This window comes from Homo sapiens, chromosome 4, assembly GCF_000001405.40.
Source record: "Homo sapiens chromosome 4, GRCh38.p14 Primary Assembly".
Classification (NCBI taxonomy): domain Eukaryota; kingdom Metazoa; phylum Chordata; class Mammalia; order Primates; family Hominidae; genus Homo; species Homo sapiens.
The window spans coordinates 105,643,750-105,656,930 of NC_000004.12; the positions used below are offsets into that span (position 1 = coordinate 105,643,750).

Below are 13,181 nucleotides of genomic sequence, written 5' to 3' on the forward strand. Positions count from 1 at the left end.
GTTTGTGAATGTATGTGCATGTGTATTTCTCCACATTGTGTGCATGTACATGTGATAATACATTCTTTTGTTTCTCATTTATCAAATGAATTGAATTAGATGGTCTCTAAGATGCCTTCCTACTTTTTTTTTTTTTTTTTTTTTTTGCGACAGGCTCTCACTCTGTTGCCCAGGCTGGAGTGCAGCGGCTCACTGCAGCCTCGACCTCCCCAGCTTAAGCAATCTGCCCACCTCAGCCTCCCAAGTATCTGAGACTACAGGTGCCTGCCACCATGCCTGGCTAACTTTTGTATTTTTTTCTAGAGACGGGGTTTTGCTATGTTGCCCAGGCTGGTCTTGAACTCCTGGGCTCAAGTAATCTGCCTGCCTTGGCCTCCCAAAGTGCTGGGATTACAGGCCCAAACCACTGTGCCTGGCCCCCGACCCTTTCTAATGATGCAACTTTTCTAATTTTGTTCAACATTTTTATAGCTGTTTTACTATTCTAATAATATGGTCAGTCATTTATCCATAGCAATACTTTAAAAAATTATTGAAGTATAAAACATCCACCTATTGGGATTTGAAAACAGTGTCTGTATTTCCTATCTACAGTGTATCTTTATTGGTCTCTGCATAAAGAGGCTTTTAGAAATCACTGCCTTCTGTCTGAATGATCAATGAGAGTGGGCTAGACAATGGCATGACCAAGCTTGTAGCTTCTTCCCCTCCTGTGAACTGCCTAACCAGTTGGAACGGCTCCAACTTCGTCTCAGAAGCTGCTAAAGGAAAAGTCAGGCATGAGTCTCACTTTTGTGTAGTCATTTGAAGATTTGTTGACTAAGAATTCCACATGGAATGTCACTGTGTGATAGCAATGATTAGTGATAGGGATAGTAATAATAATAACTAAAGAATTATCACATTTATCAGAAGTCCCTTTTGGGGACTGTGGTAGAACCTACAAAACATTGTAAATGCAACTTCTCAATTTGGTGGAAGAGAGAGGCCAAGACTTCCTTTTAACTATACCTTTGCAAGCCTCTGTTAAGATTTTTAAATGGTTATTCTCCTCAATAATAATCACCAAAATGCCATCAGGAAAATGCATTTTTCTTTGTTGTCATGGTAAAATACGTTCTGAAATTGTTTCCCATTATATTATAAAGCCAATTATAAAAAACCTTGTAAACTGTACATGGCATATGGATGAAAATCATGCTTTGAGACAATTTGATGGAAAGTTATACTTGTTTCTTTTAGGTTTTTGTTTCATAGTAGGGTCTTTCAGATTTGCTTCTTTCTGTCGTCTTTTGCTCTTGCTTTTATTTAGAAATTTTAGATATACAAATGAAAAAAAGAGAAAATGTTTTAGAAGTAATCATAAAAACACACAAAAATGAAAATGTGTTAATAAAACATATGTTTGTGAAACTGATATTATTTATCTGTATTGTAGAGGCAAACCAAACTTATTGGACATGGGCTCTTTGATGATCAAACCAATTCAACGTGTGATGAAATACCCCCTATTACTGTGCGAACTTCGGAATTCCACCCCTCCCTCTCACCCAGATTACAGAGCACTGGACGATGCCTTTGCTGCTGTGAAGGACATTAATGTTAACATCAATGAACTTAAAAGAAGGAAAGATTTAGGTAGGAAGAGACATGATGAATTGGTTGTTTTCCATTATTGGAGTGTTTGCTTTATGTTTCTGAGAATCAGAATGTTTAAGTAGTTATAGCAGCTGCAGTGAACTGATCATTTGAAATCTACAATTAGAAGCTGGAGAGAAGAGTGTGGTTTTGCCTTGTCAGCTGGGTTAAGGAGAAGATTAAGAGGCACAAGAAATGAAATTAAAAAATAAATCAAGCAGCCATATGCTCAACTTCATTGGACCACTGCAATCCTGGTGACATATTGTGGGCTGAAGAAACCCATTGCATATAGTCCTCCTGTCACTGGAGATATGTGTGGTAAGAAAGAGAAATGGCCACGTTGCAATAGCAGTGGGAAGCAAATGCAGAAAGCACCCAGGAAAGGGGAAGATCTAGGTGACAGAGGCCATCTAGTCTTTTGGATTCATCTGGTTCTGGCACACAGAGAATGGAGCTTTTGTGGCAATAATTTCTCTACTGATGTGAGCAAGTATACTTCTTTCTAGAATTAGCAAATTATTGTTAACTATTTGTAAGCTAAAATATAAAATTAGTGTTTAATGTAAAATTTCAAAACAGAAGGGATAATTACATGGTTCCTATACATCCCAGAGGTAGTAATGCATTGAGCTAGGCTGTGGGTCCTCCCTCAGTGTGATTTGTGTTCACATAAGTTCTTAGTTGGTGTTGTACTGCTATTATTAAATCTCAGTTTGACATTAAAGCCACAGCAGGACTTTAGAGCTAAATGGTCTAATCACTTTATTTATTTTTGTTTTATTTTCTGATGTTTATTTCAAAAGTCATATATTTGTATTAGTAAATTAAAAAGAAAGGTGTAGAATAAAAAGTAAATGTTATGGAGTAAGAAAACTCCGTGAACAAAATGAAGAGATAGTATACAAAGGATCACTGTCCAGACTATATAATCACTGACATTAAATCAATAAAAAAACATTGTAATACAAAAAGGTTAAAAATAAAAAGAAGCAATTCACAGTTTTAAAATTCTAATCTTCATTTATACTCAGGGAAATGTAATCATTGAAATCACACTAACATACCATTTCCAGTCCAAGAGACTGGAGGGAAAAAGTAATGAATACGCTAAATGTTGAATCTCAATCTACAGGTGAGAATGTACTTGGAATCACTAGTTTAGAGAACAACTTGACAATACCTAGCAAAGTTGAAGATGCACAGACCGGAGACTCAGAAAATGAATTTCTAAGTATTTGCCCAAGAGAGACTCTTGCCCATGTGCTCAAAGAGAGGTGTACTGGTAACTAGCATTGTTCATAAATGCAAATAAAAAAGACACATTAATCCAGATAGTGGATAAACTGCATATTATACACTACAATACCACAAGAAGATAAAAATTAACTAAATAAAAAAGTAGGTGTATCAATGGGTTAATCTCAAAAACACAATCCAGAGGGTTTTTTTTTTAAAGTAAATTTGCAAGTGGTAGAAGAATATGTGCAATATGATACTATTTTATAAAGTTTTAAAACATTCAAAATGTATTTTATAATTCCAAACATCCACAGTAAAAGCATAAAAATAGATACAGATATTATAAGCCCCAATATTTAGGATAACAGTTCCCTTTAGGGATCATACATGGAGATCAGGGTGCCTCAACTGTTAGGTGAGTTGTTTTAAAAATAAGAAGACTGGAAACAAAGCAAAATGTTAAGACTGGACAAGGTTTTAGATAATGGCTGTTACATTATTCTTTATATTTTTCTGTTTGCTTAAACTATTTCAAAGTTTTGAAGAGTAAAATTCTTCCCTTCCCACCATGATTCCAGTTTGCATAGCTAACATTTTATTGTTTTCTTCAGACGTACTCTGTCTTCTTTTCTCTTTTCTTCTGTCTTTCTCTCTCTCTTCCTCTCCCTCTCTCCCTTTTCCTTCTTTCCATACTTCTTGCAACATATATGGTACTATAGTTTGTTTTTTTAAAAACTTAATCGTATATCATGAACATTCTTTCAATTAATATTGCCTTCTTTTTAATGTTTCCATAGCATTTTATTTATGAGTATATCATTATTTATTAAACTATTTCTCTAAGGATAAATATATAGATGTTCCTAATACCTTGCTGTTAGAAAAAAAATACTCTAACAAATAAAACTTTGTATACTTGATTATGGAAAGCAGATTCTCTGCATGAACTTCCTGGTAATAGACTATGAATATTTTCCTTTTTGTTAGTTTCTGCCAAATTGTTTTCTACAAAAATGTGTTGGTTTAATTCTCATCAGCAGTCTGTAAGATTGTCCATCTCCCTACACTTTTACCAACACTGAATGTTAGAGACATTTAATGTTTTCAACATTATGAAAGGTGAAAATGATTGCAAAGATAAATAAGTGAAGCTCAGAGAGGTTATTCAGCTTGCCCCAAATCTCTCAGCCAGTGAAGAGGTGCTCTAGGATCTGAGGTCTCCTTACATTGGGCACAGTTGTCTTGTCTTTTCTTTTCTATTTTTTTTTTTTTTTTTTTGAGACAGAGTCTTGCTCTGTCATCCATGCTGGAATGCAGTGGCATGATCTCGGCTCACTGCAACCTCTGCCTCCTGGGTTCAAGAGATTGTCCTGCCTCAGCCTCCCAAGTACCTGGGACTACAGGCACGCACCACCATGCCAGGCTAATTTTTGTATTTTTAGTAGAGACGAGGTTTCACCATGTTGGCCAGGCTGATCTCAAACTCGTGACCTCATGATCCGCCCACCTCGGCCTCCGAAAGTGCTGGGATTACAGGTGTGAGCCACCGTGCCCGGCTGAGTTGTCTTTTCATTAGTTAGATCTTGATTCCCCATTCCAGAGGCCTCAGATAATAAATGTATTATCTGAGACGAGAGGGAGAACTTTTTTCTAGTATCAGGGATTTCTTTAATATTGTAGATAAATCAAACTTAATCCTTGAGGGGCTTTTGTCCTTGTTTCTGGAGGTCAGTGGGGTGGGTGCCTGACTGGGACATGGGTGGACAGTGGGGCTGGAGCATATGGCCTCTGCAGCAGAGGCTCAAAAATCATATACATATTTATCTTGAATATAAATACTCGTCTTGAAAACTTTGGGTGAAGTGCACACTTTCTATGCTGCATGTGTTCAGCTACGTTATTACATTCTTCCTTTTCAGTTCTAAAATACAAGAAGAATGACGAGGATGAATCACTTAAAGACAAATTGTCTAAACTAAATATTCATTCAATTAGCAAGAAATCAAAAAGAGTGACAAATCATCTGAAGATTCTGACCAGAGGAGAATCACAGGTAATTTTTCTTCTTGGACCACCCACCTTTTCCCAGGGAACATGAATGCAGATATTTTTGTGAGGTTTTGTTTTGTGAGGACTATTTCTAGAATACTGAGAATCAAGGTAATTGCCCTATGCTGTTCTCTTGTCTCCCTCTCTCTCTCTCTCTCTCTCTCTCTCTTTCTCTCTCTCTCTCTCTCTCTCTGGAAAACAGGGGTGGGAGTGGGAATAGGATTGACACTGTCTTAGCTGTGGTGCTTCTACTCAAGAAACAGACAAAAGAGAGACACGGACATGGGACATAAGGTTGCCCCAGGAGTCCTGATGCTCATCATCAACTAGCACATATTCTCCCTCAAGGCAATGCCCTTCTTCCATCCTGTTTTACTTCTGCTCTTAAAAGTTGTACTTTTCTTTAGGGTTCCCTTGATATTCATTTTCTCTTTATTTCATCTTTATAAACAAAGTGTTTAGAGGCATAACTTAGTGCAATTATTTTTTCTACTCCTTATCCCCTTCCTCTTCCCTCACTCCCCAGATGCACATTATATTAGTGAGTAACAGTCCTGTGTCAGCTGTTTAGCCTAGCTTGAGCCACTGTCATCCCAATCCCTAATAAATAATAGATGGATTAGCAAAGACTCTTAAACTTTAATGTGCATTAAGAATTACCTAAAAAGCTTGCTGAAAGACAGATTCTAGGGTTCCACTTGCCTCAAGGGTACAATCTAGAAGTCTGTATTTTTGCAAACACTCTAGGTATTTTGAAGCCAATGATTTTAAAGTAAGTTATCAACAGAACACACTTGCAATTCTTTGAGAATCACAAGATAGAAAGTTCATGGTCCTGAGATGGTAATATAGTGGGCTTCTAACCAAAATTAGGGAAGATAGTTCTTAGTATACTATCTAGTCCTTATTTTTTCCTTCTCATTTGCCTGTTTTTATCACTCATGTATTAATATCTCTAAGATTTTTAGTTTGAACAAGAGGCAGCTGTATGGTGGTTCATGTTGGTTTCAGATGGCTTTGGCAGCTGCTGTGGTCTTTTCTCCTTCCGTTAAGTCTTTGCAGCTTTCCAACCACTTAGGTAAAAGCAGCCCCTTCTTCCTCTGGAAAGGGTTAATATATTGACTCTATATTTCAATCTTGACACTATTCATATTTGCAGGAGTCAGCACAGGGAAGAAATTAAGAACAACATCTTTGAAGTTATCCAAACCTGGGTTTGAACCCTACCTCTGCCACTTAGTAAATGTTTGTTTGGGGGCACATAACAAATTCAATGTAATCATCTGTAAATTCGGATTCTCCTAGTACTTAACAAATGGGATGGTTGTGAGGATTAAATGAGATGATGCATACATCAAGAAAACACCTAACATAGTGTGTAAGCACTCAATATACTTTAGCTGTCATTATTATCATAAATTTAATCATTATTATTTTATATCATCACCTTGTATGGTTATTTACCTTTGAATGTGCAGACTTTTCTTCCTATGTGATGTTAAGTCCTTCATACATGGTGTATTAATCGTATTTTTTACTTTCTGTATTTTGTAATGTTTTGACATTTTAAAATACCTTTCTGGCTGAGCAGACTGCCCTTCTAGGGCTAGCCAATTCTTAGGGATAGCAAATGGCTGGAACACAACTTTCATATGCAAACCAATCAATCTTGAGTATATAGCTCTAACCACATCCTTATCTAATTCTTACACACCAAGCCAATATCTCCCCTGCCCTAAATCATTTCAGGGCCCAGTACCAGCAACTAGAGATTACCCCTATATCCCAAAGCCCATTGGAGTTATTTAAAATAGCCAGTCCTAAACTCTTTACTCTGCCCCTGCCTCACCTTTTGCAAGGAAATCCCAACAGAGGTTCTGGTCTAGACTTTCTCTTTACTCCTATCTTCTGCCACTGCACCAAAACCTGGTGCTTTGCCTCTAGCCCTGTGTGGCATGTGGTGACTCCTCTCTCTGGGACCTGTGAGTATAATAAACTTCTTCCTTCCAAGTCATGTTCTTGTTTCTTCTTGTGACTGTACCAAATTTACCAACATGTACATTCTTAGAACACAAGGCTTGAATTATTTTTGTATTTACTCCTTAATATCCTTCTAGGGGCTAACTGGGTCCATTGCATGTAAGAGGTTCCTCTTCTCAACGTGGAACTATAATGTAAGAAGTTGGGGACATTTATGGGATATACTCACATATCTGAGAAAGGACAATGAAGACATTTCAACTAAAGACAACCATATTAAAATCAAATTGGAAATTTATTTAAGAAGAGATTGTAGCCATAATAGAGATAGGCATGTGTAAATGTAGGGCAAACAATTCCCCCCCCAAGTCTTTGGGATTTTGCTTCTGACTCAAGACAATTCTATTGAGGAATAGTAGGCAGCCTCTAATTCTGGGCTGGCTTTTGAATAAGCTGTTATATTCTTTAAGACATTTATCATCAACTTCTTATATTTCTCAATTGTGAACTAAAAGTGAATTGTAGTTAAAGTAGCCTGAAGGGATATTAATTAGATTTTTCCCCTTAATCTTTTGAGAGGATGTCCTGTCAGCAATGAAGCATTTTACTGTTAATCAGAAAATCAGCTGCATAGGCTGGACGGGAAAAGAGATAAATCTCAAATCAATCAATTTTGCACTTGTCAGCAGCTCAGGTGAAATATTGGTAGAGTTAGGGTATAAAGCTATTACCGAAGAGGAAGATTCTATTCAATTCATCATACATATATTGAACTCTCTTGTACCCAGCACCATGTTAGAGATTGGGACTACAAAGATGAACAGGTATAGGTTCTGAATTCAGACTGCTTGGGGTTGAATCCTGATCCTACTATACCGTGGGTAAGTTTCTTTAACTCCCCATATTAACTAGGGTAAAGACAACATATCTGTCACAAAGAGATTCCAAAGGCATAGTAGGCTAAGTCAGGTAGTTGTTTATTTCTCTCTCTCTTTTTTTAAATTTTTTAGAGACAGAGTCTTGCTGTGTTGCCCAAGCTGGGCTAGAGTGTAGTGCCATTATCATAGCTCGCTGCAGCCTCAAACTCCTGGGCTCTAGCAATCCTTTCACCTCAGCCTCTCAAGTAGCGCAGACTACAAGCGTGTGCCACTGCTCCTGGCCGCTCTCTCTGTTTTAAGAGTCCTGAGATGTGAATCCAGATGAGCTCTGCTTCATAAGATCCTTCAGGAACCCAGTTCCCTTAGTGATTTTTCTAAACATATTGTTTTCATTTGCCTGGTTGAAGCTGTATTCCTGCCATGTCTTCTTTCAAGTCCCAAAGAAATGTTATAAGGCCAAGACTCAGACATGAAAACAAGGCTTCATCCACATCCTATTTGCACAAACCTGGTTACCAGGGCAGAGCCAGCTGCAAGGGAGTTTGGGAAATGTAGTCTCTAGCAGGGCAGCCAAGTGTCCAACTTGAAATAGAGGTGTGGATTCTATCAATAAAGGGACAGTAGGAGGAATGTTAACAATCTCTGCCATACCTCCTGAAGCTTCTGTTTCTTTATCTCTAAAATGGGAGTAATCATAATTCCATTATATATGTGTAAGGATTACAATGAGAAAATGGAAGAAAGGTTTTGGCAGTGTCTGGAACACAGTCAGTGTTTAACAAATGTTCGCTATTATTTTCATTAAAACAACAATAGTTAATCTGAAACAACCGAAATCCATCAGTGGAGAGAATCACTTAAATCATTAACCAGGGTTATGAGAGCACATAGGAGAGAGCAATTAATTTTCTACAGTGGGAAGAATAGGAGAAAAGGGAGGATTTATAGAATGGGTGACATTTGAACTAGTCCTTAAAAATAAACAGGATTTTGCAAGGCAGGAAACGAACAGCAGTATATTCCAGCAAAAGAAAACAGCATGGAAAAGTCTTGCTTATAGGAAAGTAGAATTGGGCAATATTTCTCACAGTGTGATTCTTGAACCTTCTACTTTGGAATCATCTGGGTCCTAGCCAGATGATATACAAAATAAAATATCTGGTGACGCCTCCTTGGAAACTGCATTTAAAAAAAAATCTGCCCCAGCATATTGTTATACACACTAGACTGAGTTGGAGCATAGCAACCCTAAGGCACAGAATGTTGGATTTTGTGGGGATTCCAAAGAACTCTGCTGCCTATTTAATCAAAAGCTTTGTAGATAAACAATATTAAGAAGTTTAAAAATAAAATAAAATGTCACCATTTTTGATACATTGAGTTCTAATATCAACCCTCTTAAATTTAAAAACAGATGAACCAAGCACTGCTATGGTTATCACCCAGTGCCAAGCTTAATAATACATACCCTATTCCATGAAGCATTTGCACGTTCACACAGATTTTGCCAGGATGAGGCTGGTTCCGATCTTGTTTTGTAGCCATTTTGATAGCCAAGAAATACTGCTTGCTATTAATAGCAGCAATAAATGTGTGCTCCTAGAAATTGTCACAGCATAAAAAGCATATCTTTCTGAATTCTAATGGATGTACATGTAAGATGACAAAAAAAACTGAATACATGTGACACTATCTTAAGTCTGCTGAGTTATCTTAACAGAAGGACTATTTTTGCTAAGATTATATATTATCCTTCAAGTTTGAGTTGATAAAGAATTTTCACATTTCTTTTTTTTTTTTTTTTGAGACAGAGTCTCGCTCTGTTGCCCAGGTTGTAGTGCAATGGCATGATCTTGGCTCACTGCACCCTCCGTCTTCCGGGTTCAAGCGACTCTCCTGCCTCAGCCTCCTGAGTATCTGGGACTACAGGTGCACACCACCAGGCCTGGCTACTTTATGTATGTTTAGTAGATACGGGGTTTCACCATATTGGCCAGGCTGGACTCGAACTCCTGACCTCGTGATCCGCCCGCCTTGGCCTCCCAAAGTGCTGGGATTACAGGCCACATTTATTTAACCATGAATCTAAGAATATTTTCTAAATAAGCACTGTTAAATAAATTGGAATGAATCATACGAACAAAACAAGAAGTTCTAGTCAATAGATCAAATGTGGCTATTTTATAAACCCAAAAATGTAATATGGTTTGCGTACATACATAATATATGCCATTAAAAACTACAGAGAAAGTTTTACAATACCACATCTACTGTGACATGGGTGAAGTTATGTGGAAATTAACAACAGCAATTTGAGTTATAGGACTTGGCTTTACTACACTAACTGAGCATCAGTTGTGTTATGTACCAACAGAGAAAGTATGTGTTAAGACAGACAGCATGTCATCAAATGTTTTCATATCATCAAAGAATTTTCTTTTGTAATGTGCTGGACCAATATGGTCTGTGCTATTTTAAAAAATATCTGTTTCATTTGAGTTATGAAAATAATTTCATATATATTTTAGGTTAAAGACAATACCTTTAACAGAGAAGAAAAGCTGTTTAGAGCTTTAGAAAAGACTGTGAGGCTTTGTGTGAAGAACATTTCACTCTGTCTTCAACACATACAGGTAGGTGAGACACAACTGTTTTCAGTGTTCTACAGGAACATCTGATACAAACCATTGATTTCCATGGTTGTTTTGAAGAGTAAATGTGACTGTTCCTTCCTTTATGTTATGACACCGGATCAAAATTGGAAGGCTGCAAACTGCTGGTAAAGGAAGCCAATATATAGAGGTGTTTTGCTGTTTGACCTCTTACCTGCTCCACTCTCTCCCCAGTCCAAATAGTCATATTGTGGGACTTTTTTGCTCAGATGATTGCTTCATGGACTATCAGCATGCTTTCTTTGCAACAGAGATGAGTTCATTAACACAAAATTGCAAGAGACAGAAAATTTGTTTGTTTGTACTAACACATCTCTTTCTAGTACCTAAAATAAGTATAAAAATCAATATAAAGGAAAATAAATTGAACTACAAAATCCTATTAACTACAATATGGAAATGCTCCCATGAGATTATGTTAGAAAACAGAAATACTCCCAGAAATTTCCAATCCCATAAGAAGTTGTCCTGACCCTTTGAGAATCACTGATTTCAACCAACTAATTGGAGTACAGTATGATTATGCTCGGTAGAAAAACCAGTCAGAGGTTTTTTCTAATCGATCTCATAAAGAGGAAACAGTGTCCTTCATGCCACCTTGACAATGGCTATGACCATGACACATAGAAAGTTAGTAGTGTTACATGTAAATCAGTTACTAAATTGTCCCCTTCTATATTCCAGAAGTTTTTCTCCTGGATATCTTAGATATCCGTTTCTGGAAGCAGATGTTTGCACTCTTAGATAAAATATCAGAATGATTTGGAGACAAGTTTCCATGTACATGTACCATTCTGTTCTTATTTATTATCTGATACAAAGCCTACTTTACAATCCGGTTTGCTATTTTCTTCCTAAAATGCTGCCTTCTGTGAAAAGAAAACCAAAAACAGTTATAACAGCCAGAGAGTAGTGGGAACCCCATCCTTTATGTATCTTTCAAGGAGTAAATGTCTCTTGGGAACATCTACAGGAAAGTCTTCTATTTCCACTAATAGATTCAACAAAAAATGTAAGCATTTTCTCTTAAAGAGAGCATTAAATTTTCTAAGGAAAACTGATGAATTTAAATCAAAGAGGAGTGATTTTTAAAATAAGAAATTTGTAAGAATTGCAAGCTAAAGAATAGCTAATGAGGGAATTTAAGATGGACTGTTTAATCAAAGAGGGTCGTATACAGAGTACTATGAGAAAGAGACATAAGGAAAATGTAAGGAAATATATTCTTACAAGCAACCTGATTGTACAGAGCATTTATAAAATGTTTGTTGTTCCTTTTTAAATAACCTCTCAGTGATAATTAAGGGTTATGCTGATGAAGTCCACATTTGGGATATGTTAATTATACTGACCTCAAAACTTGCCTTTTTTGTAACTTTGTTCTTGGGTTTCAGGATGCCATGCCCCTGGCTCTGCAGAGTGTGATGGACCTTCAGGAGATTTCATACAACAAAGACGATGAGATGGACTATTCTGAGACCCTAAGTAATGCCTTAAATTCGTGTCATGACTTTGTAAGTTATTTATATTCACAGATAAATGCAAATTAAATAGTGAGGTTGAAAGGAAAGCTGCTTTTTGTTTGTTTTTCTGGAGTCAGAAATAAAACATGCACTAAAGCAAATATTAATGTCAAAATTAGTAGATTTAAATGGGATTTTTTTAAATCATTTAATATTTTTAAAGTGGATTAGTGAGGATTTTACTATGATGGAAATTTAAGAGGACCACAGATTGTGTTTCTAGGGGTAGCCAGTGTCAGTGCAGCTTTTAAAATTAATATTTAGTTTAAGTCTGCATGTGAAATATTAAGAAATTATTAAGTTAGAAAGCTTTGCTTTTCTTTTTCTTTTTTCTTTTTTCTGGGACAGGATCTGGCTCTGTTGCCCAGGCTGGAGTGCAGTGGAACAATCTCAGCTCACTGAAACCTCTGCCTCTTGGGCTTAAGCAATCCTCGCTCCTCAGCCTCTCGAGTAGCTGGAACTAAAGGGGCACACCACCACACCTAGAAGATTTTTTGCATTTTTTGTAGAGGCGGGGTTTCACCATGTTGCCCAGGCTGGTCTCAAACTCCTGGGGTCAAGTGAGCTATGCTTTTCTTAAACAAGTCTCTGGAAATGCCTTGAGTCCTTACAGAAAGAGCAAAGGTACTCACTGAGGATATGACACTTATTAACATGCTATATACTGGAAGGCAAAGACTTCCTATTGAGAAAGACTTTTATTTAAGAGTCATATGTTATTTATTTTGTTCCACGGTAAAACATTTATTTTGTAAGAGTTCTATAAAATATATCTTGGGAATCATAAAAACATGCTTGAGCCAATAACACATTTTAGTAGTAAGTTACTCTGGGTAATATTAATTTTAATTTAGTGCCTTGTGTTTCTATAGGTATTATTATTTCATAGTAGTATTTCAAGAATTATAGAGAAGATAGACTGATCATCTTGAAAGTGGCATTTTCGTGTTGGCATTATAGGCATTTTGGGTAAGACAAATCTTCATGGAGTGGCCTTTTGGTGGAGGATGTTCAGCATTTTTGGCCCACCAGGCTCAAAATCTCAGTAACATCCCCTCACATCAAGACGTTGTGACAACCAGTGAAGAGCCTCACATAATTCCAAACCCTAGGAAGTCATACAGCCCCCGATCTAGTAGAAAAACCAGGCAGGAGCATTTTGCTTTTCTGGCACTGGGGAATGGAAAGTCAGGCTTACA

General features: G+C 37.0%; 1 protein-coding gene across 9 annotated transcripts in view; it reads left to right on the forward strand.

The window, feature by feature from the left end:
- The window catches only part of ARHGEF38 (Rho guanine nucleotide exchange factor 38), a 129,947-nt gene that overhangs the window by 91,130 nt on the left and 25,636 nt on the right, over positions 1-13,181 (forward strand). For 8 of the 9 annotated variants that reach the window (XR_938749.4, XR_007057934.1, XR_938750.4 and 5 more), the window contains 4 exons: positions 1,439-1,638; positions 4,800-4,933; positions 10,316-10,420; positions 11,854-11,973. Coding sequence is in view for 4 of the 9 variants with exons in the window: in NM_001242729.2 (NP_001229658.1) it covers positions 1,439-1,638; positions 4,800-4,933; positions 10,316-10,420; positions 11,854-11,973 (559 nt within the window). In the remaining 5 variants the exon portion in view is untranslated. Of the gene's footprint in view, positions 1-1,438; positions 1,639-4,799; positions 4,934-10,315; positions 10,421-11,853; positions 11,974-12,854; positions 12,952-13,181 lie in introns of all 9 variants that reach the window. The other variant, XM_011532051.3, reaches the window with a different exon arrangement.